The 25,221-nt window shown below is 34.5% G+C and overlaps 1 long non-coding RNA gene across 1 annotated transcript in view; it reads left to right on the forward strand.

Annotated features, from left to right (window-relative positions):
- The window catches only part of LOC105373790 (uncharacterized), a 104,710-nt gene that overhangs the window by 52,392 nt on the left and 27,097 nt on the right, over nt 1-25,221 (forward strand). The gene's annotated exons all lie outside the window — the stretch shown is intronic.

The following is a 25,221-nucleotide window of genomic DNA, read 5'->3' on the forward strand; positions in this document are numbered from 1 at the left end:
ATATAGATTTAATTATGGTAAGTGTATATGTTTTATCTAATAGAGCTTGTTGAAAATATCCCTGCTTATACTTGACATGTTTAGTTACATATAAAATTTTTAAGTCAACCAAAGATCACCCACCAAAAAATTGTATTTTAATTTCAACATAATGATATAGAATTCTATATCATTTATATAGATTAATTTGATATCTTTAAACTTTTAAGTGCATGTATGAAGGAACGAGTGCATACCTTCTAACTTGCTTCCTTTTGATGCCCTTTGTTACCTTATTCTTATCAACAATGATGGGTAGGGACTCACATCCTTGCTTTCTGTTGAAGACCTCTATTTAAGAAGGCTTCAATGCCAAAGTGCAATGTTTGAGACCATTTTTGAGGAGTTTTTTCTGAAAACTTTATCCAATGGAGGACACACATTGGTGCTAAATCTGAGACTAAAAGTAGATGGATAGACAAATGTATTTTATATTTATTGCGTATGGCAATTTTCATACAGGTAGCACATGTACTATTTTACTTAGCATAACCTTGAGCTATCTCTTTCTAACCAAAATGTAAGTATCCTTGGTTAAGCATAATTTTTTAGAAGAGTATAAGCATCTTAGGTCTTACTTTACTGCCCTCAGACAGCATGGATGGGTGGGGAAGAAGGAAGTCTTTGTGATTCAATATTATCTTACTATCTTTTGTGAACTGTCAGAACTTTTACTGGGTCACTTTATTTAATTCAGACACTTGTAAAAGTTGCTTTTTGTTTTCTTAATTAGCCACTTTTACACAAAATCATGTGGTCTGTCATGTATTTTTTTAATTCCAACTTTTATTTTAGATACAGGGGATACATGTGCAGGTTTGTTGCATGGGTAAATTATGTGATGCTGAGGTTTGGAGGATGGATCCTGTCACCCAGGTAGTGAATATAATACCCAATAGGTAATTTTTTAACCCATGCTCCCCTCCTCCTCGCTCTGGTAGTCCACAGTACCTACTGCTGCCATGTTTGTGTCCATATGTCCTCAATATTTAGCACCCTCGTATAAGTGAGATCATGTGGCATTTGGTTTTCTGTTCCTGCATTAATTTGCTTAAGATTATGTTCTCCAGCTGTATCCATGTGGCCACACACACACACACCATGATTTTCTTCTTTTTTATGACTGTGTCATATTCCATAGTATATATGTACCACATTTTCTTAATCCAATCTACTATTGATGAGCATCTAGGTATATTCCATGTCTTTGCTACTGTGAATAACACAGTGAAGAATATACAAGTGCATGTGTTTTTTGGTAGAATGATTTATATTCCTTTGGATATATGCCCAGTAATGGGATTACTTGGTAGAATGGTAGCTCTGTTTTAAGTTCCTTGAGAAACCTCCAAACTGCTTTCCACAATGGCTGACCTAATTTACATTCCCACCAACAGTGTATAAGCATTCCCTTTTCTATGCAGCCTCCCCAGAATCTGTTGTTTTTCGACTTTTTAATAATAGCCATTCTGACTGGTGTGAGATAGTATCTCACTGTAGTTTTGACTTGCATTTCTCTTATAATTAGTGATGATGAACTTTTTTAATATATTTTTTGGCCACTTCTATATCTTCTTTTGAGAAGTTTCTGTTCATGTTTTTTTTGCCCATTTTTAATGGGGTTATTTGTTTTTTTGTTTGTTGGTTTAAGTTCCTTATAGATTCTGTATATTGGACCTTTGTCAGATGCATAGTTTGCCAATATTTTCTACCACTCTGTAGGTTGTCTGTTTTCTTTGTTGATACTTTCTTTTGCTGTGCAGAAGCTCTTTACTTTAATGAGACCCCATTTGTCATCTTTAGTTTTTGTTACAATTACCTTTGAGGACTTAGCCAAAAACTCTTTACCAAGGTTGATATTGAGAACGGTATTTTTGACATTTCATTTTAGGATTTTTATGGTTTATGGTGTCACATATATGGTGAAAGATAAGGGTCCGTGTGAACAATGTGTAAAATAAATTTAAAAAATAATCCCATTTACAGTAGTCACCCAGAAAATTAAATACCTAGGAATTAACCAAAGAAGTGAAAGATCTCTATAATGAAAACTATATAAAAGAAATTGAAGAGGACAACAAAAAATGGAAAAATATTTCATGTTTATGTATCAGAATAATTAATATTGTTAAAATGTCCATCCTACCCAAAACAATTTACAGATTCAATGCAATCCCTATAAAAATACCAATGACACTCTTCACAGAAATGGAAAAAAACAATCCTAAGATTTATATGGAACCACAAAAGACCAAGAATAGCCTATCCAAAGGCATTCTAAGCAAAAAGAACCAAACTGGAGGAATCACATTACCTCACTTCAAAATGTACTACAGAGCTATAGTAACCAAAACAGCATGGTACTGGCATAAAAACAAACATGTAGACCAATGGAACAGAATAGAGAACCCAAAAACAAATCTGCACACCTGCAGTGATCTCATTTTCAACAAAAGTGCCAAGACCATACACTGGAGGAAAGATAATATCTTCAATAAATGGTGGTGGGGAAACTGAATATTCATATGCAGAAGTATGAAACTAGACCCCTATCTCTCACCATATACAGAAATCATATCAAAATGGGTTAAAGATTTAAATCTAAGACCACAAACTATGAAACTACTACAAGAAAACATTGGGGAAAATCTCCAGAACACTTGCCTGGGCAAAAATTTATTAAGCAATACCCTACAAGCACAGGCCACCAAAGAAAAATGGACAAATGGGATTACATCAAGTTAAAAAACATCTGCACAATAAAGGAAACAAACAACAAAGCAAAAAGACAACCCACAGAATGGAAGAAAATATTTGCAAACTCTCATCTGACAAAGGATTAATAACCTGAATATATAAGGAGCTCATACATGTTTATTAGGAAAAAAAATCTAATAATTGATTAAAATTATGGGCAAAAGATTTGAATGGACATTTCTCGAAAGAAGATATACAAATGGCAAACAGGCATATGAAAAGGAGCTCAACATCATTAATCATCAGATAAATACAAATCAAAACTACAATGTGACATCATCTCACCCCAGTTAAAATGGTTTATATTTAAAAGACAGGCAATAACAAATGCTGGCAAGGATGTGGAGAAAAGGAAACCCTTGTACACTGTTGGTTGGAATGTAGATTAATACAACCACTATGAAGAACAGTTTAGAGGTTCCTCAAAAAACTAAAAATTGAGCTACCATATGATCTAGCAATCACACTGCTGGATATTTACCCAAAAGTAAGGAAATCAGTATATCAAAGAGATAGCTACACTCCTATGTTTGTTGCAGCACTGTTTATAGTAGCTAAGATTTGGAAGCAACCTAAGTGTCCATCAATGGATAAATGAATAAAGAAAATGTGGTACATATATATAATTCAGCCATTAGTACTACTGAGCCATAAAAAATAATGAATACTATTCAGCTGTTACGGGACGTCAGGGACCCCAAATGGACGGACCGGCTGAAGCCTTGGCAGAAGAACATAAATTGTGAAGATTTCATGGACATTTATTAGTTCCCCAAATTAATACTTTTATAATTTCTTATGCCTGTCTTTACTGCAATCTCTGAACATAAATTGTGAAGATTTCATGGACATTTATCACTTCCCCAATCAATATTCTTGTGATTTCCTATGCCTGTCTTTACCTTATCTCTTAATCCCATCATCTTCGTAAGCTGAGGATGTATGTCACCTCAGGACCCTGTGATGATTGCATTAAATGCACAAATTGTTTAAACAATATGAAATCTGGGCACCTTGAAAAAAGAACAGGATAACAGCGATGTTCAGGGAACAAGGGAGATAACCATTAGGTCTGGCTGCCTGAGAGCCAGGCGGAACAGAGCCATATTTCTCTTCTTTCAAAAGCAAATAGGAGAAATATCACTTAATTCTTTTTCTCAGCAAGAAACAGCCCTGAGAAAGAGAATGTGTTCCTAGCGGTAGGTCTCTGAAATGGCCGCTCTGGGAAAGTCTGTCTTTTACGGTTGTAGATAAGGGATGAAATAAGCCCTGGTCTCCCGTAGCGCTCCCAGGCTTATTAGGACGAGGAAATTCCTGCCTAATAAATTTTGGTCAGACCAGTTGTCTGCTCTCAAACCCTGTCTCCTGATAAAATGTTATTAATGATAATGTGTGCCCGAAATTTCATTAGCAATTTTAATTTCTCCCTGGTCCTGTGATTTCACCCTGCCTCCATTTGCCTTGTGATATCTTATTACCTTGTGAAGCATGTGATCTCTGTGACCCACACCCTATTTTTACACTCCCTCCCCTTTGAAAATCACTAATAAAAACTTGCTGTTTTTGCGGCTTGGGGGGCATCACAGAACCTGCCGGCACATGATGTCTTCCCTGGACACCCAGCTTTAAAATTTCTCTCTTTTGTACTCTTTCCCTTTATTTCTGAGACCGGCCGACACTTAGGGAAATAGAAAAGAACCTATGTGAAATGATGTTGAATTATCAGGGGCGGGGGTCCTGAAAAAACTAAAAATTGAGTCCATCAATGGATAAATGAATAAAGAAAATGTGGTATATATATTTAATTCAGCCATTAGTACTATTGAGCCATAAAAAATAATGAGTACTATTCAGCCATGAAAAAATAATGAGATCCATATTTGTAACAACATGGATGGAACTAGAAGTCATTACATTAAGTGAAATAAGCCAGGCAAAAAAGAGAAACATTGCATGTTCTCACTTATTTATGGGCTCTAAAAATCAAAACAATTGAACTCATGGACATAGAGAGTAGAAAGATGGTTTGCAGAGGCTGGGAAGCGTAGTGGGGAGCTGATGGGGAGGGAGGAGCCAGAGATGGTTAATGGGTACAAAAAAATAGAAAGAATGAATAAGACCTACTATTTGATAGCACAACAGTGTGACTGTAATCAATAATAACTTAATTATAATTGAACAATGAGATCACATGGACACATGAAGGGGAATATCACACTCTGGGGACTGTGGTGGGGTGGGGGGAGGGGGGAGGGATAGCATTGGGAGATATACCTAAGGCTAGATGACGAGTTAGTGGGTGCAGCACACCAGCATGGCACATGTATACATATGTAACTAACCTGCACAATGTGCACATGTACCCTAAAACTTAAAGTATAATAAAAAAAATAAAAATTAAAATTAAAATAAAAATAACTTAGAGTGTAATTGGATTGTTTGTATCTCAAAGGATGAATGCTTGAGGGGATAAATACCCCATTCTCCATAATGTGCTTATTTCATATCCCAGGCTTGTATCAAAACTTCTCATGTGCCCCATATATATATATATATGTGTGTGTGTGTGTGTGTATGTGTGTGTGTGCGTACTGTGTACCCACAAAACTTAAAATATAAACCATAAATAAATAAAAAGAAAAGGAAGGTAAGGGTTCAGCTTCATTCTTCTGCATAAGGCTAGCCAGTTATCCCAGCCCCATTTATTGAATAGAAGGTCCCTTCCCCAGTGCTTGTTTTTGTTGGCCTTGTAGAAAATCTGATGGTTGTAAGTGTATGGCTTTATTTCTGAATTTTGTATTCTGTTCCATTGGTTTATGTGTCTGTTTTTGTACCAATATCATGTTGTTTTCATTACTATAGTATTGTAGTATTGTTTGAAGTTGGGTAGTGTGATGCCACTGGCTTTGTTCCTTTTTCCATTTTTTTTCAAATGCTGCTTGTGCTTCTGCTTAGTTTTACATTGTCTTCACAAAAAACTTATGCCTTTATTATTATTCCTCTAGTTATTGATTGATGCTGTCATGGCTCCAATAAATGGAACACTGCACTCCCCTTTATTTTCTGATAAGTAGTGTTTGAAAGTAGAAAAAAACAACCACTGATGGTTAACTAGTGGTTTTACAGAATAGTCTGGCCATTTCTAATTGTTTTTCAATAGTATTTGGGGAGATTGTAGATGTAAAATAACATAATCTAGAGATGATACATTTGACATTATTATTTGACATTTTCTCCATGATACATTTGACATTATTATTTGACATTTTCTCCTTCCATCCTACCTTCTGCCTCAAATCAATTATCTTCTGTCTTGGGTATATACTTAAAATGTAATATAGTTATGACTTGCTGATCCTCCTATATTTTGTGTCTGAATATTTTCCCCATAGATTAAAAAAATTAGAATAATAATACATTCACAGAAGAAATTTAAAAGTTAGTAAAAATAATTCCCATACACCCCACATGCAGTTTTTTTATTATTAACATCATACATTTGTCTAGAGCATTTGTCACACTACTATTAACCACGGTCTACACATTATTTAGATTTTCTTATTTTACCCAATGTCCTTTTCCTGTTCCAGGATCCCATCCAGGAGCCTACACTATATTGAATAATCAGATCTTCTTTGGGCTTTGGCTGTAAAAGTTTCTCAAGCTGTCCTTATTTTTATAACTATGAGAGTTTTGAGGAGAACTGGTTAGGTATTTTATAGAATGTTCTTCTGCTGAGATGCTTTGAATTTTTTGTATCCCTATTAAATTACAGTTGTAAGTTTTGAGGAAGAAGATCTCACAGATAAAATGCCACTGTCATCACATCATATCAAGAACACATAAAATCAACTTATCAAGTTTTGGATTTTAGTCATTCTAACATGTGTGCAGTGGTGTCTCATTATTGTTTTCGTTTGTAATTCCCTGATGAAAAAAGATATTGGTCATCTTTCCAATATGCTTATTTGATATATGTATAACTTGTTTGGTGAGATCCCTTTATAAATCTTTTGTCTATTTAAAATTGGGTTGTTTTATTATTATTGAATTTTAAGAGTTCTTTGTATATTTTAGATATAAGTATTTTATCAGATACGTTTTTCAAATAACTTCTCTCATTTTGTTGTTTGTATTTTCATTTTCTTAAAAGTAGATTTTGTTTAACAGAATTTTTTAATTTTAATAAAGTCCATCCTATTTTTTATTGTTGTTCATGGTCATGTTTTTGGTATGACATGCAAACATTTATTATCACATCCAAACTAACAAAGATTTTCTCCTTGTTTTCTGCTAGAATTTTTATAGCATTGTATTTACACTTAATTTTGTCATCCATTTTGAATTAATTTTTGTGAAAAGTATAAGTCCTGTGCCTAGACTCAATTTTTGAAATGGATATCCAATTTTTTCAGCACAATTTATTGAAAACATTAACCTCTCTTTGTTGAATTGTTTTTGTGTTTTTGTCAAAGATCAGTTAATTGCATTTATGCAGGTCTGATCCATTGATTAATGTGTCTACTTTTTACCAAGATCACACTATTTTGATTACTGTAGCTTTACAGAAAGCCTTGAAATTAGGTAATGAGGCTGGGCGCAGTGGCTAACGTCTGTAATCCCAGCACTTTGGGAGGCTGAGGTGGGCAGATAACAAGGTCAGGAGATCGAGACCATCCTAGCTAACACGATGAAACCCTGTCTCTACTAAAAATACAAAAAAAAATTAGCCAGGAGTGGTGGCGGGTGCCTGTAGTCCCAGCTACTCGGGAGGCTGAGGCAGGAGAATGGCGTGAACCTGGGAGGCGGAGCTTGCAGTGAGCCGAGATTGAGCCACTGCACTCCATCCTGGAAGGCAGAACAAGACTCCGTCTCAAAACAAACAAACAAAAAACAAATTAGGTAATGAGTTCCCCACCTTTTTCTTTTTTAGAATTGTGCTATTTGAGGTTTTTTGCCTTTATAAATACACCTTGGAATGTTGGTTGATAGCTACAATATAGTTTGCTAAAATTTTGATTGTATTGATGAAGATGAATGTATATGTAGATCAAGTTGGGAGAAATTAACATCTTAACAAATTGGGTTTTCCAATTCATGAACATGGAATATCTTTCTACAGGCTGAATATTCATTATTTAAAATGCTTAGGACCAGAAATCTTTCAAATTTTGGATATTTCAGAATTTTGGAATATTTGCATATTCATAGATATCTTAGGAATGATATCCAAGTCTAAACATAAAATCCATTTATCTTTCATATATACCCCATACTCATAGCCTAAAGGTAATTTTATACAATATTTTAAATAATTTCTCTTTTTTTATTATACTTTAAGTTTTAGGGTACATGTGCACATTGTGCAGGTTAGTTACATATGTATACATGTGCCATGCTGGTGTGCTGCACCCACTAACTCGTCATCTATCATTAGGTGTATCTCCCGATGCTATCCCTCCCTCCTCCCCCCACCCCACAACAGTCCCCAGAGTGTGATATTCCCCTTCCTGTGTCCATGTGATCTCATTGTTCAGTTCCCACCTATGAGTGAGAATATGTGGTGTTTGGTTTTTTGTTCTTGCGATAGTTTACTGAGAATGATGATTACCAATTTCATCCATGTCCCTACAAAGGACATGAACTCATCATTTTTTATGGCTGCATAGTATTCCATGGTGTATATGTGCCACATTTTCTTAATCCAGTCTATCATTGTTGGACATTTGGGTTAGTTCCAAGTCTTTGCTATTGTGAATAATGCTGCAATAAACATACGTGTGCATGTGTCTTTATAGCAGCATGATTTATAATCCTTTGGGTATATACCCAGTAATGGGATGGCTGGGTCAAATGGTATTTCCAGTTCTAGATCCCTGAGGAATCGCCACACTGACTTCCACAATGGTTGAACTAGTTTACAGTCCCACCAACAGTGTAAAAGTGTTCCTATTTCTCCACATCCTCTCCAGCACCTGTTGTTTCCTGACTTTTTAATGATTGCCATTCTAACTGGTGTGAGATGGTATCTCATTGTGGTTTTGATTTGCATTTCTCTGATGGCCAGTGATGATGAGCATTTTTTCATGTGTTTTTTGGCTGCATAAATGTCTTCTTTTGAGAAGTGTCTGCTTCTCATAAAACAGTTTGTGTTAAGTACTTACGTATGGAATTTTTCACTTGTAGTGCCATGTCAGTGCTCAAAATTTTCAGATTTTGAAGCATTTCAAATTTTGAATTTTTGGATTAGAGATGCTTAATCTGTAATTATTTGGCTCTTCTTTGATATTTTAATTAATTTTTCTTTAGTGTTCTACACGCATATCCTCTACAAATTTGGTTGTATTTATGTCTAAGTATTTTTTTGGTGCTATTGTAAATGTTATATATGTTTTAAATTTCAAACATGTTCATGGCCGGTATAAAGGAAAGCAATTATCTTTTGAACATTAAATCTGTGGCCTGTGAAGTTGCTGTATTTACTTATTAGTCCTGTTAATTCTTTTGTAGATTTTTTGAGGTTTTCTGCATAGACAGTCCAGCCATCCATAAATAAAGACAAATTTATTTCTTCCTTTCCCATCAGCATATGCTTGTTTCTTTTTCTTCTCTTATGGTGATCTGCTAGAACTTCCAGTGTTAGTTGAATAGTACTGACAAGAGAGGACATCTTTGTCTTGTTCCCAGTCTTAGTAGGAAAGCTCCAGTTGCTCAATCTTCAGTATGATTCTACCTGTTGGCTCTTTGTATATATTCCTTAATGTTAGGAAGTCACACTTATTCCTAGTTTGCTGATAGATTTTTATAATGAATAGGTATTGATTTGTGTTAAATGTTTTTCTTTGTTAAATTGATATGATCATATGATTTTTCTTCAGTAGCCTGTTGATGTGTTAGATTATATTTGCTGCTTTTTCAAATGTTGAACTAGTCTTGCACACCAAATAAATCCCATTCAGTTATGGTTATAATTCTTTTTATATGTCATTGGACTGGATTTGATACTATGTGGTGAGTTATTTTGGTTTTATTTCTTTACTTGTGATGTTTGTATCTGATTTGCGGGTCTTTACCTATTTTAGGGTAATGCTGGCCTCATCAAATGACTTAGGAAGTGTTCCTTCTGCTTCTATTTTCTGGAAGAAATCATGGATAATTGAATTAATATCATTTCCTTCTTTAATGTTTGGTACAATACATCAGTCAATTTACCTGGGGTAACTTCTTTTTCTTAGAAAATTATCAATTCTAATAATTTATAACTAACCATTTATAACTCTAAATATAAATATAAATATATTTAAATATACTTTTTATTTTCAATATATATTTAAATAAATATAAATATATAAAATAAATAATAATTTATAACTCTAAAAATAATTTTCTGCCTTTATTCTTTCTGTGATGCTTTTCCTTTCTTCATATGGATCCAGATTTCTGACCTTTATCATTGTATTTGTGCCTAAGGAATTTTTTTTAATGTTCCTTGCAAAACAGGTCTGCTGGCAAGGAGTTTTCTATTTTTATCTGAGAATGTCTTCATTTGTCCCTTACTGTTGAATGATAATTCCACAGAATACCAAATTACCAAATTCCAGGTGATTGGGCTTTTTTTTTTTTCTTTTTCAGTGCATTAAATATTTCACTCAATTCTTTTCTTGACTGAGTGGTTTCTGATGAGAAGTCAGCTGTCATTTAAGTTAGTGATTCAGTTGAAGAGATTTTTTTTTATATTAGCCACCTTTAATTGTTTTTGACTCGGGAGAATTTTTCAATATAGCTAATCTATTATAATGATAGAAATAAAAATCTGCATTGAGAGTTATAAATGAGATTGACTTATGTTTTTTCTTTTTCTTTCAGCTTTTTCTGTCAGTGCTAAACTGTCTTTGCAAAGACTTTGGAAGTTATTTGTTGTTCTATAAATTCTGTAATAATAAAAATGGCACTGGCATTATTTGTACCATATAGCACAAACAAGTCCCCTGTAAAACTTTCTGCACCTTTTGCATTTGGAGGGATAAATATCAGAAGTGTTTTAAAAATGTTTCTAAATTCATGTGGAATTTTTGTTTCCTGGGATTAAATTGGACTTTGTGTTTATGTTGAAAAAATTTAATAATTTTTAATTTTTTTTTTTTTTTGATGGAGTCTCTCTCTGTCGCCAGGCTGGAGTGCAGTGGCGGGATCTCAGCTCACTTCAAGCTCCACCTCCCGGGTTCATGCCATTCTTCTGCCTCAGCCTCCCGAGTAGCTAGGAATACAGGTGCATGCCACCATGCCCAGCAAATTTTTGTATTGTTAGTAGAGGCAGAGTTTCACCGTGTTGGCCAGGATGGTCTTGATCTCTTGACCTCCTGCTCTGCCCACCTTAGCCTCCCAAATTGCTGGGAATACTGGCATGAGCCACTGCACCTGGCCAATAATCTTTTTTTTGTGTGTGTGAAAAAACTAATGTTTTGTCCCCACTCACCCCAAAGCCCTGTCTTTGGAATAAAATATGTGATTTGCATAATTTCTACTTTGAGTATTTGTTGAGTTTTATTTGTGGTTTACTAAATGGCCAACTTTAGTAAATGTGCATCTAACAATGAAAGTGAAGTTGCAATCTTTGTTTCAATGAATATATTTGCTTAACACATGTGGATGTTAACATAGATAATATAAGCACATTATATATTTAACTATATATGTTTACATTTTTCCATTTTATGAAATTCCTATACATTTTGTATCATATCATCCTGGGAAAGTATTCAATTTGAAGTTACTTTTTTGGTTGTTTGATTTCATTGTCCTCAGTCATTCATTGAAGGCTTTTAAAACATCTTAACCTTGTCTTCATAACCATGGTAATAAACTGTAGGCTGCTATCATGTCCATGCATAGAGAAAAGTGTTCATAGCATAAACAGCAGGAGCCCTAGGAATCCTGACCAGGGGCCAGCAAGAGGTGACCCCAGGGCAAAGTGCATTGGAGGCCAGATGCCAACTGTGGACTCAGTGACATCCAGCATGGATTTGTAAAGCAAATAAGAATTCCAAGAATTATTAGAGAATGGGATTCTCTTAAAAGAAAAGTTTATATGATTCTTAAGCCATTGTGATTTTTTTCATTAAAAGACTTGTAAATTCATAGTCTATTGAGGCTCAGAAGAAAACATTATGGTGATACAGTTGCCATTTACTTAATTTTCAAAATATGCTAAGTTGTTTGATATTTCTAAAATTTCTTCCGCACAATGTCTGTACCTTTTACAAAACTGTGAAATTAGGATATGTTTCACAAAATGTAACCAGAACAAAAAGTACATTAATTAGTTTGTATTTATGAATTTCCCACTCAAAGTGAATGTTGTCATTGCCAGCATGTATTTCTCCTTCTCTTCCTCCTAAAATTTTTAGGGTTCCATCTTAGTGAAAGCTGACTATGTTAACTTTTATAATAAAAGATCAGAGAGATAGAAAACTGGAGATAAGGTTTTTAAAAATCTGTTGAGAATGGAGGAAGAGTGATGACTTGAGATGATAAAACAGATGGGAAGTGGGAAGATGCTGTTATTAATGTTGTTGAGAATACTTTGATTCACTTCAGAAACTGAAAAATACGTCAATGATTTTTAGTTGGGGAAATGGTTTGGTTTCTGAAATGCTTTTGTTTGACTTCTAAATGATACAAACAGAACCACAGGTGTGAGTAAAATGGTTAATCCTATTTCACTATAGCAACATATTAATAAGCATTTCTGTAATATACCTAGAAAAAAAACTGAGGAGCAACTATCAGATGGCTTCTGAGAATTTGCTTAGCTCTTTGGCAACTGTTTTTTTGACTCTGGGTAGGAAAATACACAGTATTTAAAAAACAAGCGGTATTACAAATATTTAAAACTCGGAGTTATTGTATAAATTATGATGTATGTAATATTTTTTAAGCCATATTGAGATTACGGAGTTCATTTCTATCAGAGAATGATGATTCAGAAAGGATGTGTTTATTTTTAAACATGCAAAAGAGAACTGCTTGTATTGTAGGATACTGCATCTTCCATGATAGCTTAAACTTTTTTTGTCTGAAATTAACAGCCAGTGGGCCATGGTTATCATATTTCAATATTAACATTCTTTTTAAGTCAGTATAGACATACAACTCAATTTTACCATAATTTTGTGCAGTCAGTTATAGCCATCATCGTTATTTCTATTAAAAATTATAATCCAAAATATTTTGCCTTTCAAGTGGGAGACTCAGAAACAATTTTATAATATAAATGCTACATTAATATTGGCCTATAATTACAGTTTACTTTTATTTCAAATAATACTATTTCCACTAATCAGAAGCCAATTATTTGATTTATCTAATACCTAACTGTATAAATCTATAAATCATTTCTGTTTAGCAATCTTTGGAATAACATCTAATATATTTATGTTTTAATTCTCTTGATGTTGAAATTGAACTTGCTTTACAGGACTCTGTTTACTTTATTTCTAAGCCATTTTGCACATTCTATAAACTGCCTAATTACTAAAGAAAGTTTTTTATTTACAAAATTTTGAGCCCAGCTGTTTCCCATTTTTATGTTTTATGCACGAACTTGTTTACAAGGCACAAAAATAGAATTATGTGATTCATAAGAAAATGTTTTCTTATATTCTAAAGATTGCCCAAAAATAATCATTGAACAAGGCCAACATAGTTTCTCAGAGAAGGAAGACAAATTTATAAAGGAATATGGCCTATGTAGGTTTTTAGTGAAGCACGATTTTCTGGAATCAAGATTTTAAAACATGTGTGACTTCAATAACCTTCAGAACCAACTTCTTTTCTTGAGACAATCTGTGTGAATCTGGAAATTAGCTGCCTGTCCCTTTCTCCACCACATCCAATAAATTTTGCACTGCTATTTAGCTCCATCATTTATATGTGAATATAAGTTAGTGTAGCAGTGCCTTCAAGAAAAACCTGGCCATCCAGTTGCAAAAAGAACAGCTGGCTGATAGTCTTCAGCTGTTAGTATCTTCCAGATCTGCCTCAGCTTTTGAGCCAAGGCCAAGGACTTATGAGCAGTCCCAGGCAATGATTGGGCATGGTTTGGATAGTAGGATCTGGCAGTTTTTGCAAAGTGTGAGACTTATCTGACTAGCAGTCTTTGCTCCAGAGAAAAGATTGGGCTAATTCTTTGTTACAAATGCATTATAGTCTGAGACTCTCCCTGCCCAATCCTGCTTCCTCTATTCAGGGTATTACCTTTCAATAAATCTCTGGAACTTCTAACTTCATTTCATCATCTGACCATATATTATAAACTCTATATATCCACTGTCAAAAATACATTTCTAGACCTTATTTGATGAAGTAAGAGGAAAAAACAAACTCTAGACTTGGAGCCAGAGGATATGGGTTTAAGTCTTGTTTCCTAATATTTTCTAATTTTATGACTGGTAAAATTGCTTGGCCTCTCTAATGACTAGTGTGCTTATCAATAAAACAAGTGTCATAATATCTACATGCCCAGAGAATAGCTTGAGGCTAAAATGAGAGCATGCATGTAATGGATTTTTGAGGAATGTTCTAATGCATGGGCTTATTAAATTAACTAAATGGCCATCAATTTATTTCTGTGTTCTTAAATCTCACTCTTATCCTATCCTGTTGACAGTAATGCACTTAAAGTATAGAGATAGGGCCAAGTGGCCGATTTCTAGATTCGTAGGAACTTTTAACATGAAAGACAGAGTCAACCTTCATTTATCTGTAAAGGTGATATTATCGTATTTCTGCAGTCTTTTAAGGTATAATGGATATATCCCATGCAGATCTATCCAAGCAAAAAAGGCCAAGCAGAAGACTAAATGCTGAGAAATCAAACATGAAAACATGAGCTTTCTGCACTTAGATTTCTCAAAGACTAACGAGGCAATTTGCAGTGTAAACAAATGATCACAGCACAAGTTCCAGAAAGAGGTGTAACTACGCATTAGCAACCATAACAGTATAGGAATAAGTTGATAATTAACTCTTGCAGGATTGAGGGGGTGATTTTATATAGGAGGTTGTATTTAATCTTAATGTGAAAAGGTAAATTAGATATTCTTCAGTCCAATAAATATAGAGTGAGGAAAATGGATTCCAAGCAGACAAACTAGCATTTCCAAAGGCCTGAAGATACAAAATAACAATTTTCTTTTGAGAACACAATTTGTTGGTACAAATGGTGTTTGTGTCCCACAGGGGAACATGAGTACCTTAAGAGAGATGAGAGTGAAAAAAGCAAATGAGTTATGAGAGGTCCGGTGTACTAAAATAAAGTCTTTGACCTTGGTAGAGTGTGTGAGAGAGGACACCATTTTTAGGAAGAAGAGACAAAATTAGCTGCTTTTCAATTAAGAAGTTTTACTCTGACAGTAGTGTACAAATAGGATAGAAGTGGAGGATGAAGAGGCAAAGACTATAATAATGATTCAGGTGTGAAATCAAAGTGTGGTAGTGGTAATAGCTCTATGCAAAAAAAGACAAATGTAGGCACAGAAATGACAAGTATTGTCTGCTGATAGGATGCAGAGAGGAATTGCCATAGCACAGGGAGAAGGGAGAATCCCGAGTTGAACTTTCTTATTTATAGGTTAGGTGATTGGTTGTGAAAATGCGGGACATGGAAGATAATTTTTCTTTAAGTTTTTTTTTTCAATTTTGGAAAGAGGGAAAGGAGTATGGGTTAGAGTTCAGTTCTGGATGTAATGAGTCTGCGTTTTCCCTAAGATATTCTAACATGTGAATTAGGATTTATTTCTCTAACACTTAGGAGCTTTGCTGAGCTTCACCGTGCACTGAGTCCTTTAAGAGACTTCAGAATCAGCACCATGAAAGTGCTACTTAAAGCCATGTGTCTTTCGATTTGTCTGTGGGGAGAGAGTGAGGATAAAAAGAGAACTGGGATACCACTATAAAAGGGAACTATATATATAAAGGAAAAAGATCTACTTGTAACATAAAAGTTCCACTTTTTCCACACAGCAAAACTAATTTGAGAGTTTATAGCTGCCTGTTTGCTCAATGCAAAAATTCAATTACATGTGTAGAATAATGAATCTTTGCTTAATAGTACATTTTACTGAACTCATTATTTTTTCTACTATGAATTTTGATATAAACATAAGTTTAAAAATTCTATTTTATTTAATTTAAAGCTTAAAGGTAAACTGATAATGACAGCCTGTAGCTGGAGCTCCAGCTGTGGAGGAAATTCTTGGCAGCTACCAACAGTGGCCTTCAATCTTCAGGATTAGACCCATAAGTAACTCCATCTTTGTCACTGACACTTGCTTATGGTGGACTAATCTGGTACCCAAAGGAAGCAGAAATGCCTGTGTCACCCGCCCCAGCAGACAGATGCCTCCCCTTGCTCTTTATTTTGTGATGATAACATACGTAGAAAATATAATATGATTTTTCTATTTCAAGAGCAAACATCTATATGGAAGAAAGCAAATCTTTTTAGAAATAAAACAATTAAAATACAATTATCTGTACCTACAAGACTTTCTTTGTGTTTGCAAGTTAATTGCCTTCATATCATATAAGCTTATGTTGCTTTAACTATCTTTACATTGAACTCCGTTATTAGAAATTTACCTGTATCATGTCGTACAACTGGTTTCTATAACAAAGACATGCAAATGGTGACCAGGTGTATGATTGGATGGTCAATATCACTAAATATCAGGGAAATGCAAATCAAATTCATAAATATCACCTCACACTTGTTAGGATGGGAAGAAGAAGAAGGAAAAGGAGAAGGAGAAGGAGAAAGAGAAGAAGGATATAACTTCTCTAGATACTGCCCTCTGACAATGCCTGCTTATCTAATTATGCTGTTAAAAAACTGCACACCAGGTGTAGCAGCTCACACCTGTAATCCCAGCACTTTGGGAGGCCAAAGAATAAGAAGAGGCAGCAGCATCAGAAGAAGAAGAAAAAGAAGAAGGAGAAATAACATGTGTTGGCAATTCTGTGGAGAAATGGAACCTCTTCTACACTGTTGTTAGGACTGTAAATGTGCAGCCACTATGGAAAACAGTAAGGAGGTTCCTCAAAAAATTAAAAATGGAACTACTATATGATCCAGCAATCTTACTCTTGAATATATAGCCCAAAGAATTGAAATCATAAGCTTGCAGAGACATCATCACTCCCATGTTTATTGCAACACTATTCACAGCAGCCAAATTATGGACACAACCCAAATATCCATCAGCAGATGAATGGACAGAGAGAATATGGTATATACATACAGTGGAATATTACTCAACTCTAAAAAGAAAAAAATCCTTCCATTTGCAACAATGTGGATGAATTTAAAGGACATTATGGTAAGTGAAAAAGGCCAGGCCCATAAGGACAAATACTGCGTGATTCCACCTATATGAGGCACCTAGAATAGTCAAACTGAAGAACAATAGTTACTATGGGGTGGGGGAAGGAAAAATGGAAATTGAGGAGTTGTTCGATTCATATAAAGTTTCAGTTGTGCAAGATAAATTAGTTCCAGAGTTCTGCTGTACTGCATAATGCTTATAGGCAACAATGCTGTATGGTACACTTAAAAATATGTTGAGAGTAGATCTCATGTTAAGTGTTCTTATTACAAACAAACAGAAATCAATGGAACACAAAACCTTTTTGTGGTGATGAATATGTCTATTATCTTGATCCTGGTGATGATTTCATGGGTGTATACATATGCCCAAACTCATCAAATTGTACACATTAAATAAGTGTAATTTTGTATATAAATTATACTTCAATAAAGCTACTAAAAATAAAGATAGTAAATCACTCCCACTTTGAGTTAGTCTCTCAAACCATTGAAATTGGAATCATTAGCATACATTTAAAGTTACAGTTTAGATAGACTCAAAACGAAGGTGTCATTGCAGTGATCTCTTTTAATATGTGCTAGATATATACCTCCATTTAACCAAAAAAAGCACTGGATTTCTCTATTTACTAGGTGCTTTTGACACATAAAATGATCCTTTTTGTGTCTTTTGCTTCTGCTAAATTGCTCATTATTTTCAAATACATTTGCCATATCACCTACTTTCTTTGTGCTTAACATACACGCAAATTAGAAACTTATATTCTGGGTTGCTGGCAGGTCTATCTATAGTCCTGAAGTCTTCCACTGGAGGAGAAAATTGGAAGAAATAAGGTAAAATTGCACAACCTGGATACCAAAAAAGTGTAATCTGTATTCAACTTTTCTTTGCATTAACTTCTCAACAACCATGAACAATGAACAGATCTTAACATACTAGTGTAAAAAGATGCGATTTTTAATGACATCCTTATTAGTGTTGTCTATGTAACATTTCTGAAAATGTTTCCATGTGTTTTGAAATTCCTTTAAAATAAATATTCTGGAATAATATGAAGAGAAATAAAGATACTTTTGGGAGTGGGAGGGATGCTTTGGAAATCATCACATTCCAAATTCCCACTATCTTTTAAAGTATGACCTACATCATCTGGGGATAAAATAATATAAAGAAGCGAAAGTCTGTGAGATCACTTAAGTCTTCCTTCAAGTATCTGGAGAAGGCATCATGATCTTGCCTTACACAGCATACTCACAGTGAATAAATAAATAAGGGTGCATACCCAATATCTTATATTTTAACATTTTTTTTTCTTGGTTTCAACCTATTTAAAATACATACATTAAAATGACAAATTAACCACTTAAAAAGTTTTTGTAACTTATCTTTCAGTAGGATGCCCAAAATGTATGACTCATGAGAAAGGAATCTATCGCATGAAAACATTCAGGGAGTAGACATACTTACTAGAGTTTTGCTTAAGTATCAAGTCAGTTGTAATCACTTCGTAATCTAAAAATTATTTAGGGAATGCTCAACAGGTGAAATTTTAGTTTTGAGAAGACTTTGTGACAATTTTCTTGTAATTATAATTTTAAAAAATACTATCTGAACATTTAATATCTGTTAATTATCAAAATATATTTTAAAGTATATTTTAAAAGATCTCACTGGACTATTAGAAATGAGTTAAAATATAGACAAATTTAAAAATAAAGCAAAGTGAGGCATTTAAATGATCATTTCCTATTTTTAATTTTCTGAGAAGTTAGGTAAACCTACTTTCTGTCTCACCCCCTCCCCACAATAAAATAAATTATGTCATATTAAATAGCGAGAAGAACTAAAACATCAAATGTCAATGCAAGAGAATACATTTCTGGGCTGACAGAAACAGAATCAAGAAGAATGGTGGCCACATAGCATGGAATCAATTTATATCTGGCAATAACACTAAAAGAATAGAATTTCTTTTGTGAGATATTTTTTACATTGGGTCCAGCAATTTATGCATCATTAGTAACATCTGTGACCACAAAAAGATCAGTTAAAGCAAGGAAGGACAAAGAGAGAGAGAGAGAGAGAGGTAAGAGAGAATAGAGAAAAAAGTTTTGATTAATTCAGTTTCTTAACTGCACCTCTAGTTTTTTTGTGTTGTTTTCTAGTAACACGAAGTCATAAAGGAATCTAGAGTAGGCTAGATATGTGCAAATGTTTCCACTACATATCCACATGAGTGTACTAAATACAATCATATTTACGCCCCCTTCAGTGAGGTAGAGAAAGATAGCACTTCTTTGGATGATTTGTTCGGTTACAGGACAAGCTTGAACATGATCACTTAGTGCCTCACTCCTGTTTGTCAGGCTTTATATAAGAGCTACTTATGCTAAGGAACTATATCATGTTCATCAGATATAAATTATGTTTGTATTGCAACATTTCTATTAAAATAGATAATATTTTCAATGTTTATGTTGTTTATATTAGGCAAATCATTGTAGTTCTTCATAAGCAATAAATGGAATGGATTATCCTGCAAGTTAAAGAGTTTTGTCTTTTCTCTTGGGCCAACTTAAATGTTAATTGGCTGTCCACACCATGAGCTTTGGTTTTGGTAGTGTCATGTTGTGGACAAAGAATTTCAGTCTGAGTCCCACCTGACTGACAAAAGCATTTTGGCTCATTCTGAATGCCTGGATGTTTTCTTTCAAAATATTATTTCAACTGTAACCTTTCAAGGTACCAGCACTAATGCTTAAAGGAAGCATAACATTCTCCAAGGATTTCACAGAAAGAGTAACACAAAGTGTGTTCAATTAAATTTATTTACCATGATTTTAATTCCTAGTATGTGCCTACTATGTACATGAAAGTGTTTAATGCAGATTTTTTTTAAAAGTAAAATTATAATTTAAAAAAGCCCAAATACAAGATAAATTTCAAACTTTGGTAAAATAAATGTCTTCACATTTCACAGCCTTCATGTCATCATATAAAATCTGCCCCTAAAATTGATATCTGAATATTGAGGTGGTTAGTCCTTTGCTCTGAGGTATGTGAAGCAGTTCAGAAACAGAGTAGCTAACATAGTTTATTGCAGGGTAAAGATTCAGTATCTTCAGCAGCCAAAAATATTTCTAAGATTACTTCAGGATAAACCCACTGTGTATGGATTATTCTACATCGTGGCCATTTGCTGGCAATAAGAACTCTTCTCAGTTGGTGACTTAGTAATATGAGGTACTGACAGTGGCAATCAGATAGAAATGATGAAATTAGAGTTAACACTGGCACCAGCCCTCTGAATGTCAGTAGAAGAAACTTATCCTTTCTTCTCACTGCAGAAACATGACAATATTCACAAAACACACAGAGACAGACATAACATCTGCTCAGAATTATTGACATAATTCTCAATTATGTGCAAGCTACCAGAGAAGTCAGAAGGAAGTTAAATGAAAAACTTTTAGTTGTAGAAGCTTCTTAGGCTCCAAAGTAAGAATCACTACTCTATTGAAAAGTTATTTTACTAAGGGTAGAAAATTATTAGCTCTATTAATGAGGAATCTATCAACAGCATTAAAGCAGTTTATTTTAAGATTATATAGCAATTCTGCAGTGAAAATAAAGGACTGTTCTAGAAGACGAAGGTATGAATTACCGTTCTTTCTGCTTACACACACACACAAACATATATGTGTGTGTAAATATACATGGAGAAACACATCCCAAAAGGTTGAGTCTCCATAAATTTGTATTTATGTGTGTGTGTATAAATATTCATGCATATATCCATATATTATATTCTACATGTCTATATTATACATATGATATATATACAATGTATATAACCCATGTTTAAAAAATTTACACACACACACACACACACACACTCCTCTAGAGACTCAAACTTTCTGGTTCATTTTCTTCATCTATAAAATCAGAAAGCTGAACAATTGCTAGGGATTTTATGGCTATAAACATATTATTTAATAAATTGTATCGCTTTCCCTCTGGTAAAAATGACCACTGTAGACTGGTATGAGGCTAGAAAGAAAAAGTTGTCATTTAAGAATTCTATATTTGCAGGAATCATTTTTCTACCTACCTAGTGGAAACTTTTGAAAGTATTTGATAAGAACTAAAAAATTCATAAGAATATTAATTTATTAAATGTCAAGATATAGATGTAAGAGGAGGCAGTTAATATGTCTAGAGGAAATACAATCTTGAATAACTGTCAGGGCTGCTATAGCTGAATTTGAATAATCTGGAACAAAGCATGTATGTACTTGCCAAAAATACTAAAACTTAATAAATCTGTTAACACTGGTCTAGATGAAAGATATTTTGAGGCCTTCCACTTATGAGAACAGCCTTACATCCCACTATGTAGACAATATTTTCCTTTGATCTGCATTCTTAGTTAAGTGCATTCCTCTAGTATTTAAAATATATAAGCATGATAACCTGCTGGATAGAATGAAAAACCACAGGTAAATGCAGCCAGTCTAAATAAAATATATCTAAAATATATTCTCATTTTCTATCATATAGCCCTAAAACATTGACTATTCTTTTCTTCTATTAACAACATTAAGCAATACTTTTCCCATTTTCCTTTTAGACAGACTAATAGTAATTGATTGATCCATTCTAAGAAATGAAAAGGAAATCTCAGCTCCTCAGAGACTAACATCTGAAGTAATAATCAGAATAAATCTTATAAAAGATTTCTATTTTAATTAGAATTATTTCATTTTAAATATGTATGTATCATTTATTTTCCCCCAGTTTTATCCAAACCCACAGTTATACTTTGAAATATACATATTGAGTATATATTTATTTTTAATATGCCAGTATGATTTTAGAGTAAAATTTTTCAAGGCTTACTATGTTTATAACTTGAACTTAACTTTTAAAATCTTATTGTAATAGGTAATTTGTTCTGAGTTTCTTAATGACAAGGATACTAAAAGTCTTCCGAATATTAGCTCTGGATTTTGAAGTATTGTTACTGTAGATCAGTTGAATAAAACACACAGAGGACAGACTTCCCGTTTCTTTATTATAGAGAATATGGACTTTCTGAACATGCATGAGAATTTATGCCATATATTTTCCAAAACTGATAAGCCATGGTGACAGATAATAGAAAATGCTTGAGTATTTGTATTTTGGTATTGGGTGACAAATGTTTGGAAAAGGACTAGAGAAAATAGTGGCTTTTTTGTAGTCTCAGGCAGGCAATAAAGACATACCTGCCCTGTTATATTTTGTTTGTTTATTCTCTCTCTCTCTCTCTCTTTCCTTCCTTCCCTCCTTCCCTCCTCCCTCCCTTCCTTCCTCCCTTCTTTCCTTCTTTCCTTCCTTCCTGCCTTCCTTCTTGTTCTTTCTTTCTCTATTTCTCTCTCTCAAGATTAATGAACAAGGGAAATGAAGACTTAGCTGTTACAGGCTATCCTTTGAACCGGGTGGGAGCAACAGGGCACATACTCCAGAATCACTGGCTGGTCTAGAATCTGCATTAGCACCAGTTCTGGTAGGTCAGACCAACTCACTCAGTCTCTCACTCTGTACTTAGGCACAATTTATACCATTCCTTTTTATATTCATTCTACCACTATTTATTGAACAAATATTATGTGTAGTATATGAGTTACTGGAGATGTTAAAGTAAAAAAAAACACATGTACTTAACTTAGTTGGTTTATATTTGAAAGAGGAGAGTTTGTAAATAAGCAATTACAAGTATAGAGCCCATGTGGAAAGCTGGTATTGAACATAAAACTACTTAGAGACTGGACTCAACATGTCATCATGTCCCAACCCTTTCATCATCATCACCAAAGCAATTGCAACTCTGGAAGCATTCTGGTATGGAATGCATTTTCTTTTTCTATATCTGTAATCACTTCTTTAACAGCTGAGAGTTCTGTTTTATTTTCTAGGCCCATTATCTCTCTACTTTGTCTACTTATCCCACTTTCTCCCTTCCTCCTCTCTAACATCCTTTATAGGCTCAGGTGATTTTGTGCTGGCCCTCAACTTGCATCTGCCACTCAACAACAGTAAAAAAGTGGCCAGGCCTAAGGAATCTTCCTTTAGGAATATTTCTTCAACTTAGGATCATCTCAGGTCATAACTCTAGCAACTTCTAAGTAAACGTTCTGTCTTTTAAGGGCAGGGGCTGAATTCTCTTGCTAAGAAAATTAGACTTTCTTTGTCCTGGTAACATAAAACAGCAAGATACTTGCTTTTATAAAGGTGGGTGGAAAATGAAATAGAAGATTTAGTCATTCCTGGAACAATCAGGGAGGACTTCATCGAGGAGGTAGCCATTGAATTGAGATTTCGTGGTTGAATAACAGTAAAAACTATCTAGGCCATTGTCTCCAGCCTTCTTCCTTCCTCTGAACCACTTTCCACCCCCAATACAGCCCTGCTTCTCCTTTCATCTCTCAACTAGCTGACCATGTTTGTCCCCTCTCAAGCAAACTCATACACTTATGGCCCAGATTTTATTTTTTCCTGGCTTTTTTTTTTCTTTTGAGAGGAAGTCTCGCTCTGTCGCCTAGGCTGGAGTGCAGTGCCGCGACGCGGCTCACTGCAACCTCCGCCTCCCGGGTTCAAGCGATTGTCCTGCCTCAGCCTCCCGAGTAGCTGGGACTACAGGAGCGTGCCACCATGCCCAGTTAATTTTTTTGTATTTTTAGTAGAGATGGAGTTTCACCATGTGAGCCAGGATGGTCTCGATCTCCTGACCTCGTGATCTGCCCCCCTCGGCCTCCCAAAGTGTTGGGATTACAGGCGTGAGCCACCACATCTGGCCTCGCCGGCTTAAAGTGAAAAACGGAACAAAACTCAGAGTTTCTTCAAATGACCATGGTGTCATGGGTGTGGAATGCTATGTATGTGTTTGGAGATGTAGCAGGAGATGGTAGAAAGGGCAAAATAGAAGACCACAGGGAGGGACATGTTGAAGTGTCAGAGGCAAAGGCACAGAGGACTTGTGGAGTTAAGTAAAATATTTGCCTTTCACATGTGTCAGTGACTTATGCATAAAGATTTGGCCATGGAATAGGGAACATTGCCAACAAATCCGAATAACCAAAAAATATATTAAAAATAATGGTAATTTGTCTGGGCATGGTGGCACACGCCTGTAATTCCAGCACTTTGGGAGACTGAGGCGGTCAGATCACGAGGTTAGGAGTTCAAGACCAGCCTGACCAACATGGTGAAACCCCGTCTCTACAAAAAAATAAATTAGCCGGGAGTGGTGGCGCGCACCTGTAATCCCAGCTACTCAGAAGGCTGAGGCAGGAGAATCGTTTGAATCCAGGAGGCAAAGGTTGCAGTGAGCCGAGACCACGCCACTGCACTCCAGCCTGGGTGACACAGCAGGACCCTGCCTCAAAATAATAATAATAATAATAATAGTAATTTATACTTTATGTAGACTGTTCCATTTTTTCTAGTTACTCTGATGAATATAATGCATATACAAAGCACTAAATGCCATAGTAATTTTTTAACAAGTTTTGTTTAATCTTAAAAGTAATTTTTAAAAAATTCTCAATACCTTCAGTAGTACCATTCAACATCAAACTAGTCATTATATGTGCCTATCTTAATTTTACTATCTCATATTTAGGAATCTGGATTTTCAGAAAAGAAATACCAGAGAACAATTATTCATCTTATTAAGGATTCATTCAAGAATTCCATTAAATCGTAAGCTCCTCTAGGAATTTACAAAATTTGCATTTATTTGAAACTTTTTAAGGGAGAAATTTGTTATAAAAACCGGAAACACGTGATGCTATGTTTTCCTACAATTTCCAGACAATATTTAAGTATTAGTCTTATGTAATGTGCACAAGAAATGCCAACTCCTCAATGAGATATTTTTCAACCCATCAGAGTTGGAATTAGTCTTTCTCCTTCCTGTGCTTTCACTAAACTTTTATTTTTTGACCTCTTTTAATGTTTACCTCCTTTTATCCTTCTATCCATGTTTGTTTTACAC

Source organism: Homo sapiens, chromosome 2 (genome assembly GCF_000001405.40).
Source record: "Homo sapiens chromosome 2, GRCh38.p14 Primary Assembly".
NCBI classification, from domain to species: domain Eukaryota; kingdom Metazoa; phylum Chordata; class Mammalia; order Primates; family Hominidae; genus Homo; species Homo sapiens.